Below are 14,090 nucleotides of genomic sequence, written 5' to 3'. Positions count from 1 at the left end.
CATTGTTTATGCAGAGAACCTGGTGGTATTTACAAAAAGCTGCTAGAACTGATAAGTGAGGCTAGCAGTGTTGCGGGATAGAAGATCAATAAATAAAAGTTACTTGTACATCTATACGTATACATATACGTAACCAGAAAGTGAAATTTTAAAATACCACTTAGAATACCCTCTCCCAGAATTGAAAAACTATGGGATAAATCTGACCCAAAAATGTGAATGACCCTGTAGACAGAAGACTACAAAGTATTGCTGAGATAATTTTTAAAAAACCTAAAGTCGTGAAGGGGCATGCTGTGTTCATGGAGCAGAAGAGTCAGTATTGTTAATTTGCTGGCTATCCTCAAATCTATAGATTCAACACCTTCCCAATCAAGATTTGTATAGAAATTGATAAGCGGAGCATAAAATGTATATGGAGATGCAGATGGCCTAGAATAGTCAAATCAACTTTGAAAATGAGGAAAAGGTCGGAAGATTTGCACTACCTGACTTAAGCCTCATTTATAGCTGCAGTAAACAGCATGGCTTGGTGCTGGCAAAAAGAGAGAGACAGATACATCAATGGAGCAGAATAGGGAATCCAGAAACCGGCTGGCAAATGCTGACAAGATGAGTGTGGAAAAATGAAACTGGACTTCTCACAGTTTCTAGTGCACAGTTTATACGAGTGCACAGCCAGTTCACTGGAGAAAATATACTATTTTCAACAAGTGGTTTTGAATAATTGGATAACCTATGGCAAGAAATGAACTTAAATTCATACTTTACACCATATCCAAACATTAATTCAAAATGAACCATAGTCATGAATGTAGAATGTAAAATGTAAAACTTAAAAGTTCTGGAAGAAAACATGAGAAAATTTTTGTGACTTTAGGTCAGAAAAGATTTTTAGATTGAACTCCAAAAGCATGATTCATGAAAGAAAAATATAACTTGGACTTCATAAAAATTATGAACTGTTCTTCAAAAGACACTATGAAGAGATTGAAACCACAAGCTGGGAAAGGATATTCACAATCATATAATCTGACTAAGGTCTGATAGCCAAAATATATAAAGAACTTCTTTCAGAACTTAATAAGAAAACAAAAAGTTTGTTATCAGTAGTCACTATGTTATAGACTAGTGACATTCATATGTTAAAACTCCTTAAATGAATTGTTAATTCATAGTGGGGGTGAGGTGCAAACTTTCCTTATAGGGCCAGATGGTAACTATTTTAGGAGTTGCATATGATTCTTTTTTTTTTTTTTTAAACCCGTTAAAATGTAAAACCTGTTCTCAGCTCATAGGCCTTTGAAAAATGGTCTGTGCTTCGAACTTGACCCAGTATGTGTGGTCACTTTCCAGCCTCTGAGTCAGAGCTGGGGAAGCCGTGTCCTCTGGCCTTGTACAGGAAGGAGATAGGAAGTGGTGAACTTTTGAGTTTAGGTCTGAATGATTCTTCTTGATTGATTTAACAATTAACTGATTAGGAAGGTGTAGATTGAGAGGTATTTAATACACTGAAAAATGTTTAAGAATAAAAATGTGTTTCCATTATATTTGGTGACTTTTTTGCAGTCCGTGTGACCGCCCTCGTGTCATCGAGTCTCTGAGAGGAATTGAAGTGGTCGATGTTGCTGCTGGCGGAGCCCACAGCGCCTGTGTCACAGCAGCCGGGGACCTCTACACATGGGGCAAAGGCCGCTACGGCCGGCTGGGGCACAGCGACAGTGAGGACCAGCTGAAGCCGAAGCTGGTGAGGAGGCGCCGTGTGCAGAGGCCGGAGGCTGCATGCTCCTCACTGCTGCTGTCAGATGGGGGCGGTTTGCCACCGTTGTTATGAAAAATGCTTTGGCTTCTAGAAGGCCCACTGTATTTTTGGGTGCAAGAAGTGAATAAACAGCCTTCATGGTGATGTAGGGTTGGCTCATCAAAGACGCTGATACCTCCTCCTGCGGTTTAGATGCATGTAGTTCAAATAGATGAAGGTGCTTTCTCTTTTGTCTTATAGGATTTTAGAAATCACCTCTTTGTAAAGGCTTAAAACAGGTACCCCCATAAAAAAAGAATGGCAGTGTTGTGAAGCCAGTCCTGTGGCAAGCCTTCTTGTGTTGTGCTTGGCCAACCCAAGTCCCTTTTCTCTGAAGGTGGAGGCGCTGCAGGGCCACCGTGTGGTTGACATCGCCTGTGGCAGTGGAGATGCCCAGACCCTCTGCCTCACAGATGACGACACTGTCTGGTCCTGGGGGGACGGGGACTACGGCAAGCTCGGCCGGGGAGGCAGCGATGGCTGTAAAGTGCCTATGAAGGTATTTCCCATTCTTTCCCTGCCCAGTGCTCTCCCAGCTCACCGCAGTCGGGCCCCCAGGGCCCCTCTGGGAAAACACAGCCTCAGAGCCACCATTACTGTCCCCCGTGTGTGCTCCTTAGGAGCACTTTAACCTCCTCTTTACCTTCGTTCCAGTAAATATAATGGGTAATTGGCTAGAAAGTGTGTGGAGGGCCTAGAGGGAGTAAGGTGTTCTATGTGCTGTGTGCGTTCTCTTGAGAAGTGGATGGGATCATCCGGGCACCGTGGAGCCTCCTGGTTTATAGCATGTAGGCCTGTCTCAGAGAAGGATATCACATGGCTCACACTCTCTCAGTTTACAGTGGTGTGGAGTTGCCACGGCACGCGCTTGGGGGTGCCAGTGCTTGCTAAAGGGACTGCATCTGGGTTAGCCGGGGCCATCTCAGGTGGGTGTCCTGTGAGGAGCGAGAGCAAGGCCTGCACAGCGCCTGAGTCCTGCAGTCCTGGTGGGGTCGGCGGCTCTGCTCCACTCAAGCCCGGTGGCTGCAGGCGATTTCTTATCTTTGCCAGAATGTCTTTTGCTCTTGTGAATGGGTGGCTGGTACGTGGTTCAGGTCCTGCACATGCTTCTCAGTGACCTCAGTGCATGCACACCACACTGCCGTGTAGCCCAGGTGCTCTGCTGGGTACTTGGGAGCCTGTTGCTGCGAACCTGTCTCTGCCTGGCCTCCTCTCTCGTGGGGCTGTGGGGTTGCAGGTGTGGCACAGGTGCTTCTGGAGCAGACCCTCATCAGTGGCATGTGTCAGAGGCCCCTCCTTGTGGGAAAGAGCCTGGGGTTTGCACTTCCAAGGCTGAGGATGCTGGGCATCAGAGGGGCTGGAGCAGGACGTCCCGATGCCATTGTGGTAGGGCCAGACACTAGAGCCCTACCACATTGTCTCATTTAGAGAATGAAGTCAGTTTTAATTAATTTGAGTTCAGAATTAAATATAAGAACTTACATATGAGAGCAATCACAGAGGTCATGAGGAGCAGCTTGTGGGATAGGGAAAGTTGGCTGGCAGGTGTGCAGTGTGGAGGGTGGGTGGGGCCCAGTGCTTTTGGCCATCCCTCCCCTTGCCTGCTGCTCCTCCCCCGCGGGCCTCTGCTCTGAGAGGGCTGGGGCAGGTGAGGAGAGACACAGGGATTGCTGGAGTTTGGTGCTCCTGCACAGAGAAGCATGGTTGCGGGAGGCCATTCTGGGGAGAGGCTTGCAGGCCTCACCTGCAAAGCTCCCATTTCTGGTGCCCTGTGCTGGGTCCCACCGGGCCACAGTGTGCCAACGGGTGTGCTGTCAGTCACGGTCCCGCCTGCCTCCTGAGAGTGCTGAGATTAAGTGGAATATGATTTTATGTTGCACTAATTATTCATCATGGGTACAAGTTTTCAGAATTCTTACTAGATTTAGTTAAATCTCAGTGTGGTTATAGCAGTCAGCAGGAGCCTTGTTGCTGTCTGTCTAATTGAACCTTTTCCCCCTCTAGATTGATTCTCTTACTGGTCTTGGAGTAGTTAAAGTGGAATGCGGATCCCAGTTTTCTGTTGCCCTTACCAAATCTGGAGCTGTTTATACCTGGTACGCAAGATTCTGTTTGTTTAAACCCACTAAAACCAGATTTTTATTGGGGTATGTGCACCACCTTTTCATGGATGGGAATGTAGCTTCTGCAGCAGGCTATGGTTGTGTCCTGAACAGCAGAGGCTGCCCAGGAGGCTGGTCAGGGTGGTCAGTGAGATCACCTTGCCCCATAATTTCCATGCTTCCTTTGTGTGCAGGGGCAAAGGCGATTATCACAGGTTGGGCCATGGATCAGATGACCATGTTCGAAGGCCTCGGCAGGTCCAAGGGTTGCAGGGGAAGAAAGTCATCGCCATCGCCACTGGCTCCCTGCACTGTGTGTGCTGCACAGAGGATGGTAGGTAGGGGCTCAGTGCCGCAGGACTGAGGCCTGTGAATCTAAGAGGGTTGAGCATGAAGGACATGCGCAGCCTTAAAAGGGGGCACAGGCCAGGTGTGGTGGCTCACTCCTGTTGCCCCAGCACTTTGGGAGGCTGAGGCAGGCGGATCACGAGGTCAAGAGATCGAGACCAGCCTGGCCTACACGGTAAACATCATCTCTACTAAAAATACAAAAATTAGCTGGGCATGGTGGCGCGCGCCTGCATCTCAGCTACTCAAGAGGCTGAGGCAGGAGAATCACTTGAACCCGGGAGGTGGAGGTTGCAGTGAGCCAAGATCGTGCCATTGCACTCCAGCCTGGTGACAGAGCAAGACTGTCTCAAAAAAAAAAAAAAAAAGGAGGCAGAGGCTTATACTGTGTCCTGAGAATCTATCTGCAGTCAGCAGGGCTTTGGCCCTGTCATCTTCAGCCCCTGCTGTTAAACCTGTGAATGAGTTCTATTTATTACTTATTACTGGGCTGTGCAGAACAGAGCTAGCAGCCAGCCTGAGACGTGTCCTTAGACAGACCTGCTGCAGGCTTGGCCCTCTGCTGGTGTCTGGGAACCTGGGTTTCGGGAGGGATCCCCTGTTCCCTAGGTGGTAGGTGTGGTTCACTGTGCCTGAACTGTCTGTACAAGCGACATGTTCTGTGCTGAAATCTGCTTTCCTTGGTCTGGAACTTGGTACGCGCCAGGCAGGGGGTGCCTGTGTGATCAGCCCTGATGGAAACCCTGGGCCTGGAGTCTCTACCCAGCTTCCCGGCAGACAGCACCTGACACAGCTCAGTGCCGGGGCAGTTAAGCTCGTCCTGTGTGGCTCCTGTGGGAGAGGACTCTGGAAGCTTGCTCCTGGTTCCCCCACTGCTTTGCCACAGGTCCCCATCCCTGTGCTGGTCTTACTCTGTGTCCTCTTGCCATAATACACTGTAACTGTGAGGAGGAGTGTATGCTGAGTCTTGTAAGTCATGCTGGAGAATCAGGAGCGTGGGGCGGTCCGGGGAACCCCAACACAATGGCAAAAGGGACTTTTCAGGTCAAATGAAGTTTGTGAGTCAGCTGACTTGATGATATGGAGATTATTCTGGATTATTTAGTGGGCCCAGTGTAATCACACAGACCCTTTGATCAGAAAAGGAGGCAGAAGAGTCAGTCAGAGATGTGACTGAAGAGGTAGTAGAAAGATTTTCAAAGTCTGAGAGCTCTCTACCCTCTGTTGCTGGCTTTCGTGGAGGAACAGGGCTGGGGAATGGGGTGGCCCCTGGAAGCTGGGAATAGCTCAGCCAGCAAGGAACCTGGACCTCAGTCCCACAGAGAACTGAGCTGTGTCTGAATGAGCAAGGAAACTCTCCCCTGGGGCCTCTGGGAAGGGAGACAGACCCATGCGGGGCTTCTCACCTGCAGAGCGAAAGGATCCTAAGTGTGTGTTGTTTAAGCCAGCCGGGCTGTGGGGATGTGTTATGGCAGCAGTGAAAAACGTGGGCGCCATCTTTCATTAACATGGCCTTCGCACAAACTGTGCTCCTCGTTAAAGCCTTTGGTGAATTATATAAGCATGCACCCTTTAATCATTTCATTGAGGGAAGAGGCTCATGGATGAATGAGCAACTTCTGTGGCCTGTAGTGGAAGGACATTGTAGTTCTTGATCCAGAACTTTTTATTTGACTTATTTAATTCTTTTAAATTTTGAGACAAATCACAGTTGGAAGCAAACCAGTTGGAAGTACATTACCTAGAACTTGCTTATCCCAGTCCACATGAGAGTGAGTTGCTGTCCTGCTGCCGCGTCCTGAGCTTTTCAGTGTGTTTCCCACAAACAGGGAGGCTCGTCCTGCCAGCCAGTTCACACTCCCCCACCCCGCCTGACGCCCATGCCCATTTGCAGCACATTGCCTGCCAGTCAGCTGGCAAGCTGTACCCTCTGTCCTGTGACACTCTCTCAGTGCCTGGCATCATCGTTTCACTTCCTCGTCTTCCTGGGCTTCTTGCAACTTGACACCAGTTATTTTGTAGCACATTCTTCTGTTTGGATTTTTTGCGATGTTTCTGCGTAGATTCGGGTTGTGTGTCTTTGATCGTCACAGTTCATCCTTGCAGGTGACATGCAGTTTGTCTGCTTGCTGATGATGCTCACTACAGTTGCTTGGTTACATTGTCTGCCATGCTTTTCACTGCGAACATTCTTTATAATTAACAAGTATTTAGTAGGGACATCCTGAATCTATTTAAATATTCCTTTCTCATGCAGCTTTGAATCAATTCATGTATTTGTTTTATCTGAGTGGGAATCATGGATCCTAATGTATTCATTGGGGTATATAGTCTATTTATTTTGATGCTCTAGTTGTGCTCTATTTGGCTGGCTCTGCCCCCTTTTTGTGTGTCCCCGTTGTCTGGGAGTACTTCCTTGCTCTGGCAGAAGAAGATGATTAGCCTCCACTTGTTCCCGCCATGCCCCACGCCTCGACCTGGCCATTTCTCCAAGGAGCCCTGGCATCTGTGGAGGAGAATGGCCTTGAGAAGACAAGGTCTGGATGATGGGTGTGCTCATTGCTATTGAGGCGTCACCGCTCCCCAGACCTCCTCAGTGGACAAAGCCAGGGAATAGTAATGTAAACAATACCCTGGTTTATGTTTGATGTCTGTTGAAAACTGTGAGTTCACACCAGTATCCCCAGGTCCAGTTTGGATCCACAGGGTTCATTCCAGTTTTCTCATGGCAACCTTGCAGATCCTTTCTTTTCTGGCGATTTGGCCACTCCCCCCGTGCATAACCAGCATCTCATCCTCCCCTGTGTGGCTCCTCCCCTTGCATGTGGGGGTCTTGGCTGACTCCCCTCGGAGCTAGCACCTGGGTGGAAGCCCTCCTCACTCTCACAGACTCATTCCCTATGCCCAGCTGCGTCTGCAGAGACACCCTCCTCACCTTGTGTGTGCGACACCCGCCTCGTGGCTTTAGGACCAACGTGTGGAGAGCAGGCAGGGGCAGGAGACAAGTACACTGCCCTTGACCACGCAGGCGTCACACTTTCCAGACACCCGAGGAGTCTCTCTGGATTTGACAATCCTGATGGTGTCTCCAGAGAACATGAGCCTTGTTTCCATCCTGGTCACCAGGGACCTTGCCTGAGAATATTTTCCGGTGGTATTTCTTGGTTGAGGTCCCACACGGTGCACTGAAAAGTGTGATGATTCTTGCGAATGGTGAATCTTATGTTTAGGATATGAACAGAAACGGCATGTTCTTTTTTTATGTTATTTTTTAAATTTATTTTTATTTCAACAAGTTTTTGGCGAACAGGTGGTGTTTGGTTACATGAATAAGCTCTTTAGAGGTGATGTCTGAGAGGTGGGTGCTCCCATCACCCAAGTAGTGTACACAGTACCCAATGTGTAGTCTTTTATCCCTCACTCCTCTCCTACCCTTTCCCCCGAGTCTCCAAAGTCCATTGTGTCATTCTTATGCCGTTGCATCCTCATCGCATGAGAACATATGGTTTGGTTTTCCGTTCCTGAGTTACTTTACTTAGAATAATGGTCTCTAGTCCCATCCAGGTTGTGGCAAATGCAATCATTTCATTCCTTTTTATGGCTAGTAGTATTCCATGGTGTATATATACCACATTTTCTTTATCCACTCATTGATGGATGGGCTTTGGAGCTGGTTCCATATTTGTGTAATTGCAAATTGTGCTGCTATAAACATGTGTGTGCAAGTGTTTTTTCAAATAATGACGTCTTTTCTTCTGGGTAGGTACCTAGTGGTGGGATTGCTGGATCAAATGGTAGATCTACTTTTAGTTCTTTGAGGAATCTCCATACTTTTCCATAGTGGAGCGTGGAAAATGCTTTCCATCACAACGCGTTTTCACAGATAGCTTGTTGTTAGTTTTTATCGCCCTCTAGTGGGGGAAAATCTCAATGTGTTGTACTGGTTTCTGTTCCCACCAGCAGTATAAGTGTTCCCTTTTCACCACATCCATACCAACATCTATTTTTTTTTATTCTTATTTTATTATGGCCATTCTTGCAGGAGTGAGGTGGTATCACATTGTGGTTTTGATTTTAAAAACATAGATTTTCAGGTGGATCACCAAGTCAGGAGTTCGAGACCAGCCTGACCCACATGGTGAAACCCTGTCTCTGCTAAAAATACAAAAATTAGCTGGGCATGGTGGTGCGTGCCTGTGAGCCTAGCTACTCAGGAGGCTGAGGCCGGAGAATCGCTCGAACCCGGGAGGCGGAGGTTGCGGTGAGCTTGAGATCGCACCACTGCATTCCAGCCTGGGCGACAAAGTGAGACTTCATCACAGTGGTTCATGCATGTAATCCCAACACTTTGGGAGATGAGGTGGGAGGATCACTTGAGCTGGGGAGGTTGAGGCTGCAGTGAACCGTGATCATGCCAGTTTACTCCAGCCTGGGCAACAGAGTGTGAGACCCTGTCTCAAAAAAAAAAGTATAAAATAAATAAAACAGACTTTTTCTTTTCTGTTTCGCATGCAAGAGCAATTTGGAATGTTAGGGATATTGCTATGTGTTTTAATATTAGATGGATTTGGGATGTTCGGGATATTGCTATCTGTTCTAATATTATTCTGATGGAGAACTGCTGCTGTTCATGCCTAGTCCTGAGAACTAACACTGTTGGAGGCTTAAGACCAGAGTTGTGTGTCTCTCACTAGAAGAGGCCTGGTGGCCAACAGGGGCTGTGGAGAGTCCTGGGAAGTATACTCGCCTCTTTGGATGTGTAATTAGCATGTATTCATGTTTAGGTCATACCTAAAGCAGACATTCATGTCTAGGTCATATGTAAAGTTGACAACTAGGTCAACACCAGCTGAAGGGCAGGGAGCGTTGGTGCTGTGTGTGGTGGGAAGACACTGGCAGCCATGCGTTTGTTGGCCCTAGTATACAGGTTCTGATTCTAAATTCACTTCATTCAGGTGAGGTTTATACATGGGGCGACAATGATGAGGGACAACTGGGAGACGGAACCACCAATGCCATCCAGAGGCCTCGGTTGGTAGCTGCCCTTCAGGGTAAGAAGGTCAACCGTGTGGCCTGTGGCTCAGCACATACCCTCGCCTGGTCGACCAGCAAGCCCGCCAGTGCTGGCAAACTCCCTGCACAGGTGAGTCCGGGCAGGTTGGGTGGGTCGGGGGCAAGCAAAGTGTGCTCCTGTCACATGCTGCATCCTGTCGTTGTGTGTTTACAGAGGCTTCTTGGTGAAAATAATTCAGGCTCAGTAAATGTTAACCACACAGTGCATTTAAGAACCTTGATATTTGGCTGGTTGTGGTGGCTCACACCTGTAATCCCAACACTTTGGGAGGCCAAGGTGGGCGGATTGCTTGAACTCAGGAGTTCAGGACCAGCCTGGACAACATAGCAAAACCCTGTCTCTACAAAATTAGTCAGGCATAGTGGCATGCACCTGTAGTCCCAGCTACCTGGGAGGCTGAGGGCTGAGGTGGGAGGATCACTTGAGTCTGAAAGGTCCAAGCTGCAGTGATTGCACCACTGCCCTCTTACTTGGGTGACAGAGTGAGACCCTGTCTCAAAAGAACCTTGAATGTTCATGCCAGCCAATATTCTGTGTGTACAGTGTGTATCACCTTCTATATCTTATAACCCACACCAAACTCTTCCACACCAAACTGTTCTGCTAGTACATGCCTCACATTTCTTAGTGAATTTATTTGTATAGACTAATTTTTTTTACAGTCAAACTGGACAGAATATTATTTTAAAAGCAGCACAGTGAGGTTGTGCAAACCAAACTCAGACACCATAGTGCTTCTCTGTATTTGAAACAATTGTTTTCAGAATCCTTAATGGATGCCACACTGGCCCCCGTGTGCCTTTGGTGCCTGAGGGGCTGAAGGCCATTTCTGTGTTCTAGGTCCCCATGGAGTACAATCACCTGCAGGAGATCCCCATCATTGCGCTGAGGAACCGTCTGCTGCTGCTGCACCACCTCTCCGAGCTCTTCTGCCCCTGCATCCCCATGTTCGACCTGGAAGGCTCGCTCGACGAAACTGGACTCGGGCCTTCTGTTGGGTTCGACACTCTCCGAGGAATTCTGATATCCCAGGGAAAGGTATTCAAGTGGCAATCTTTGCTCTAGGGGAAACTGGTGTCTTCAGTACATGTAACCCAATAGAATTCCTATACTGGGAATAGAACACATAGAATACAGCTCATTCAGCAAATGTTCACGGAATGCCTCCTGCATGCCAGGCTCTGTTCTGGGTACTTTATATCAATGAGAAAACAGACAAAAATCTGTTCCCTTTTGGAGTTTATATTAAAAGCAAACAGTAAGATGCTGCATCTCTCCTTCATAATCTCTGCCTCTCACTGCTCCAGAAGGATGAGGTGGGGCCTTCATAAACTAAGCCTTTGTTCCTGCGGTCCTTCTCTGCCTGCCTGGCCTTGTGGCTATGGCAAGTCCCCACTGACACAGGAAGGCCGGCGATTGGGCTGTTTCTCTCAGGATGTCCAGCAGAGGGGGCCAGGAGTCACAGATATATCACCTCGAAGGTCCGTGCCTGAATGTGTAGAGATTGCTGGCCAAGTGAGAATTAACAGGTGGTGAATAATACAGTCATGAGTGAGGGCATCTGAAAGTCACCAGGCAGGTTTTGACCTGTAGATGTTGCTAATAGTTGGAGCTTTCTAGAAGTTGGGTTAGTTTCTGGCAAGCAGCTTGACAAGATGATCTTGAAGGGGCTAATTACCATACGGTAGGGGCATCTCTGTATAGGGAAAAGTTATAGAATTGGATTGAGGACCACTAATCCTGATTGTGATTCTCTAATGTATTTTGTTGTCGAATATTATGGCCCATTCTTAGTGATTTAATAAAATTGCAATGTTTTGGAGTCCTGTCCCAGCAGGTTACTTTTTAAAGACCGGCTTTGTTTCCACTTGGCTAGAACGATTTCTGCTGAACAGGACTGGTACATTCATTTTACTTTCACGTGTGCCTGAGGGTGGAAGTGGTCAGGCTTGTGTTTAATGGAAAGACCATCTCTCTGATGAGAGAGGCAGAAGAAATCTTGGGCAGGTAAAATGGATAGGAAACATAATTTCAATTACTGTTCAATAATAAAAAGTAGCAAACGATTAATTTTACCTTCTTTTTTTAATCCTTCAAAGTGGTGATGATAATAGGCAGCACAGAGGAAAAAAACCTTTCTTTGTAGGGAGAAAAAAAGTGAGAGGCAGGGCACGTCCCACCTGGCCCTGTGTGAGCGTTGTGCAGGCTGTGAGCGGGGCATGGGTGGGAGCTGGTGTGTGGTAGGGGAGCGGTGGGCAGCAGCATCTGGCACCTGCTGGGGCTGCAGGAGAGCAGGGGAGTGCTGAGGGCGTCTGAAAGGTACCTCTGGTCAGGGAATGTGTAGGCAGCCTCGGTTCTGGTCCTGGTTATGGTGAGGATCGGCCTCAGAGAGTGGGTGTTACTACTCCCGGTCCAGAGCACCAAAATGGACTCTCCAGGAAGGTGGGCGGGCTGGTGACTGGGAGGAGAGGGGAGTGCTCCTGTGGAGGGGGAGCCGCCCTGAGGTCCAGGCAGGGCCTCTGGGAGCAGGATGAGTCTGGGCTGTGCGAGAGGCATGGGGCTGGGGTGCCGCCAGGATACCCTTTCTGGGTCTCCTCTGGCGCTTGGGGCCCTCACCTCCTGCCTTCAGGGCTTGGAGTTCTTAGGCTTTGAGCTGGGCAAGGGCTCAGCCTCCACTGAGGGACCCTTGTGCTCCCACAGCCCACCCCTAACCGAAAGAAGGCACGATTGCCTCCTTGGCCAAGAGAGCTGAGACCCCTGCTGACCTGTCTCATCCCTTTCCATTGGCACGGCTGCGTGCCGCATCCTCTGCCCTTTCCCCACGGGCATGGCCGACCTGCTCCCTCCTGGGGAACGGCTGGGTCCTCACCGTGGTGCTGATGTTTGGCCACGCCCTGCTGTCTTCACCCCAGGCACTCCCGATTTCTTTTAGTGTGATCCCAGCCAGGACCTTGTTTCCCCTCCCCGGTCTGTCTTTTCTGTCCCGATCCAAGGTCTGGCTGGCTGCACGGTGCTCCCTGGCCCCGTGGCTGCTGTATGGCAGGCAGTGGCGATCCAAGGTCCGGCTGGCTCCGCGGTGCTCCCTGGCCCGTGGCTGCTGTATGGCAGGCAGTGGCGATCCAAGGTCCGGCTGGCTCCGCGGTGCTCCCTGGCCCGTGGCTGCTGTATGGCAGGCAGTGGCGATCCAAGGTCCGGCTGGCTCCGCGGTGCTCCCTGGCCCGTGGCTGCTGTATGGCAGGCAGTGGTTTAACAGCAATCCCTGCCACGGGTGGGCTTGCTTGGCAGGGAAACCTTGACTTCAAGACCTGAGTCAGAGCAGGTGCTTGCCAGGCCCAGCCCTCCCTGTTCTGTGCCCTGTGTGTGCTGGGCTCTTCCAGCCTCCGGAACGCTGCTGGGTGGAGGTAGTTTCCTGAGGGACCTGCCTCTTGCCCGGCCATTGGCACTACCTGCCTGGCCGTCTGTCCCTGTGTGCTTCGGGGCCAGCCTGTTCCCCTGCACCCTCACAACTTGAGAAAAGGGAACTGGCAGTTTTCTGTCCTTAAGAAGGTCTTCAACACAGATTTTAAACAAAACTATGTGATGATTTCTTCAGGAGTGATGCTTTCCATATCAGATTCTAAATTTTGTCTGTTTGATGTGTTTTAGGAGGCGGCTTTCCGGAAAGTAGTACAAGCAACTATGGTACGCGATCGTCAGCATGGCCCCGTCGTGGAGCTGAACCGCATCCAGGTAGCACATGGAGATTACTCTCCAAGTCTGACAGCCTTAGAAGTGATGCTTTCGTGGGTACCTGGGCTGGGACGAGAGCGCTGGTAGCCTGCCATCCTGTGCACCCCAACTTTAAAGAGCAGGTGCCACCTTCCTTTTTGTGGGCTTCCTGTATGTGATGTGCTGGGGCTTCCAGGAATGTCAGTGTGTTTCTTTATACAGAAGTAATGAAGATTTATGTCAGATAGTCCAAAAGCACAAACACAGGTCAGCAAGAATGGGGAAAATAAAATCAGCCCTCTTCCCACTGCATGATGATAACCGCTGCTGTTACATTGGGAGGTGTGTGTCTATTTGTTACAGCCAAAGCAGGATCACTGCCTTTTGAAATTTGCTGCTCTCCTCCCTGCCATGGAATAGGGTCCTGTGGGGCTGCTTGTGTTTGGCAGCTGCCTGCAGCCTGCTCCTCTCTTGCAGGGGTGTGTCCTGGTTTACTCTGTCAGATTTCTCTGATGGTGCTGGGGGGCCGTGCCCACTTTTCTGTGGTACAGGCAGGGCTATCTGGGTGTATCTTCGGTCACCCCTTTTGTTAAGTTCTGAGAAGTGGAGTGGGTCAGAGGCCCAGTGACAATTTGATGATACATCCGATTATAGGTTATAACAGTTCATGTTCCCACCATCCTCACACCCTCCCCACCACTGGTAGTTTTCTTTGCCAATTTCATAGGCCAGAATTACTAATACTGTCTCATGGGTAGTAATCAAAGAAACGACAAGTAGACCATTTCTAAATGTATACTGCTTCAAGTGTATATAAACTCACAGTTAAAAACAATTAATTAAAAACAAAGAGAAGCCTCGGCCCCTGATGATGATAGCGTGCAGAACTTGACATTTAATGCTCAAATGAAACTGGCCTCGCCTCTTGGATCAGACACAGAGAGCCATGAAGAACAAATTCTTTGTTCCTGTACCTTTGTATTAACACATGATTTTTACCCTGATGTTGATTACAAGACTAGAAATGTTTTCAGAGTTATACTTGGGGGCATTTTGA

At 48.9% G+C, this 14,090-nt stretch overlaps 1 protein-coding gene across 10 annotated transcripts in view, besides 3 other annotated features; it reads left to right on the top strand.

The window, feature by feature from the left end:
• The window catches only part of HERC2 (HECT and RLD domain containing E3 ubiquitin protein ligase 2), a 211,140-nt gene that overhangs the window by 187,780 nt on the left and 9,270 nt on the right, over positions 1-14,090 (top strand). For all 10 annotated transcript variants that reach the window (XM_006720727.4, XM_006720726.4, NM_004667.6 and 7 more), the window contains 7 exons: positions 1,570-1,747; positions 2,139-2,300; positions 3,806-3,897; positions 4,098-4,237; positions 9,207-9,394; positions 10,166-10,363; positions 12,971-13,054. In XM_006720727.4, coding sequence (XP_006720790.1) covers positions 1,570-1,747; positions 2,139-2,300; positions 3,806-3,897; positions 4,098-4,237; positions 9,207-9,394; positions 10,166-10,363; positions 12,971-13,054 — 1,042 coding nt within the window. The remainder of the gene's footprint in view (positions 1-1,569; positions 1,748-2,138; positions 2,301-3,805; positions 3,898-4,097; positions 4,238-9,206; positions 9,395-10,165; positions 10,364-12,970; positions 13,055-14,090) is intronic.
• Positions 1,180-1,957: an enhancer, noted in NCBI's record as "H3K27ac-H3K4me1 hESC enhancer chr15:28377589-28378366 (GRCh37/hg19 assembly coordinates)". NCBI's record gives its function as "activates a minimal SCP1, AML or CMV promoter by ChIP-STARR-seq in primed H9 embryonic stem cells {active_cell/tissue: H9 hESC(primed)}" and the evidence as "EXISTENCE:reporter gene assay evidence [ECO:0000049][PMID:30033119]".
• Positions 13,856-14,000: an enhancer, noted in NCBI's record as "145 bp 15:28365618 sequence used in MPRA reporter constructs". NCBI's record gives its function as "activates a minimal TATA-containing promoter with rs12913832 allelic activity by MPRAs in UACC903 melanoma cells {active_cell/tissue: UACC903}" and the evidence as "EXISTENCE:reporter gene assay evidence [ECO:0000049][PMID:36423637]".
• Position 13,928: a transcriptional cis regulatory region, noted in NCBI's record as "rs12913832 or 15:28365618 MPRA-significant variant associated with a GWAS melanoma risk locus at 15q13.1". NCBI's record gives its function as "allelic transcriptional activity by MPRAs in UACC903 melanoma cells {active_cell/tissue: UACC903}" and the evidence as "EXISTENCE:reporter gene assay evidence [ECO:0000049][PMID:36423637]".

This window comes from Homo sapiens, chromosome 15, assembly GCF_000001405.40.
Source record: "Homo sapiens chromosome 15, GRCh38.p14 Primary Assembly".
NCBI classification, from domain to species: Eukaryota; Metazoa; Chordata; class Mammalia; order Primates; family Hominidae; genus Homo; species Homo sapiens.
This window is presented reverse-complemented; position numbering and strand designations above follow the sequence as displayed.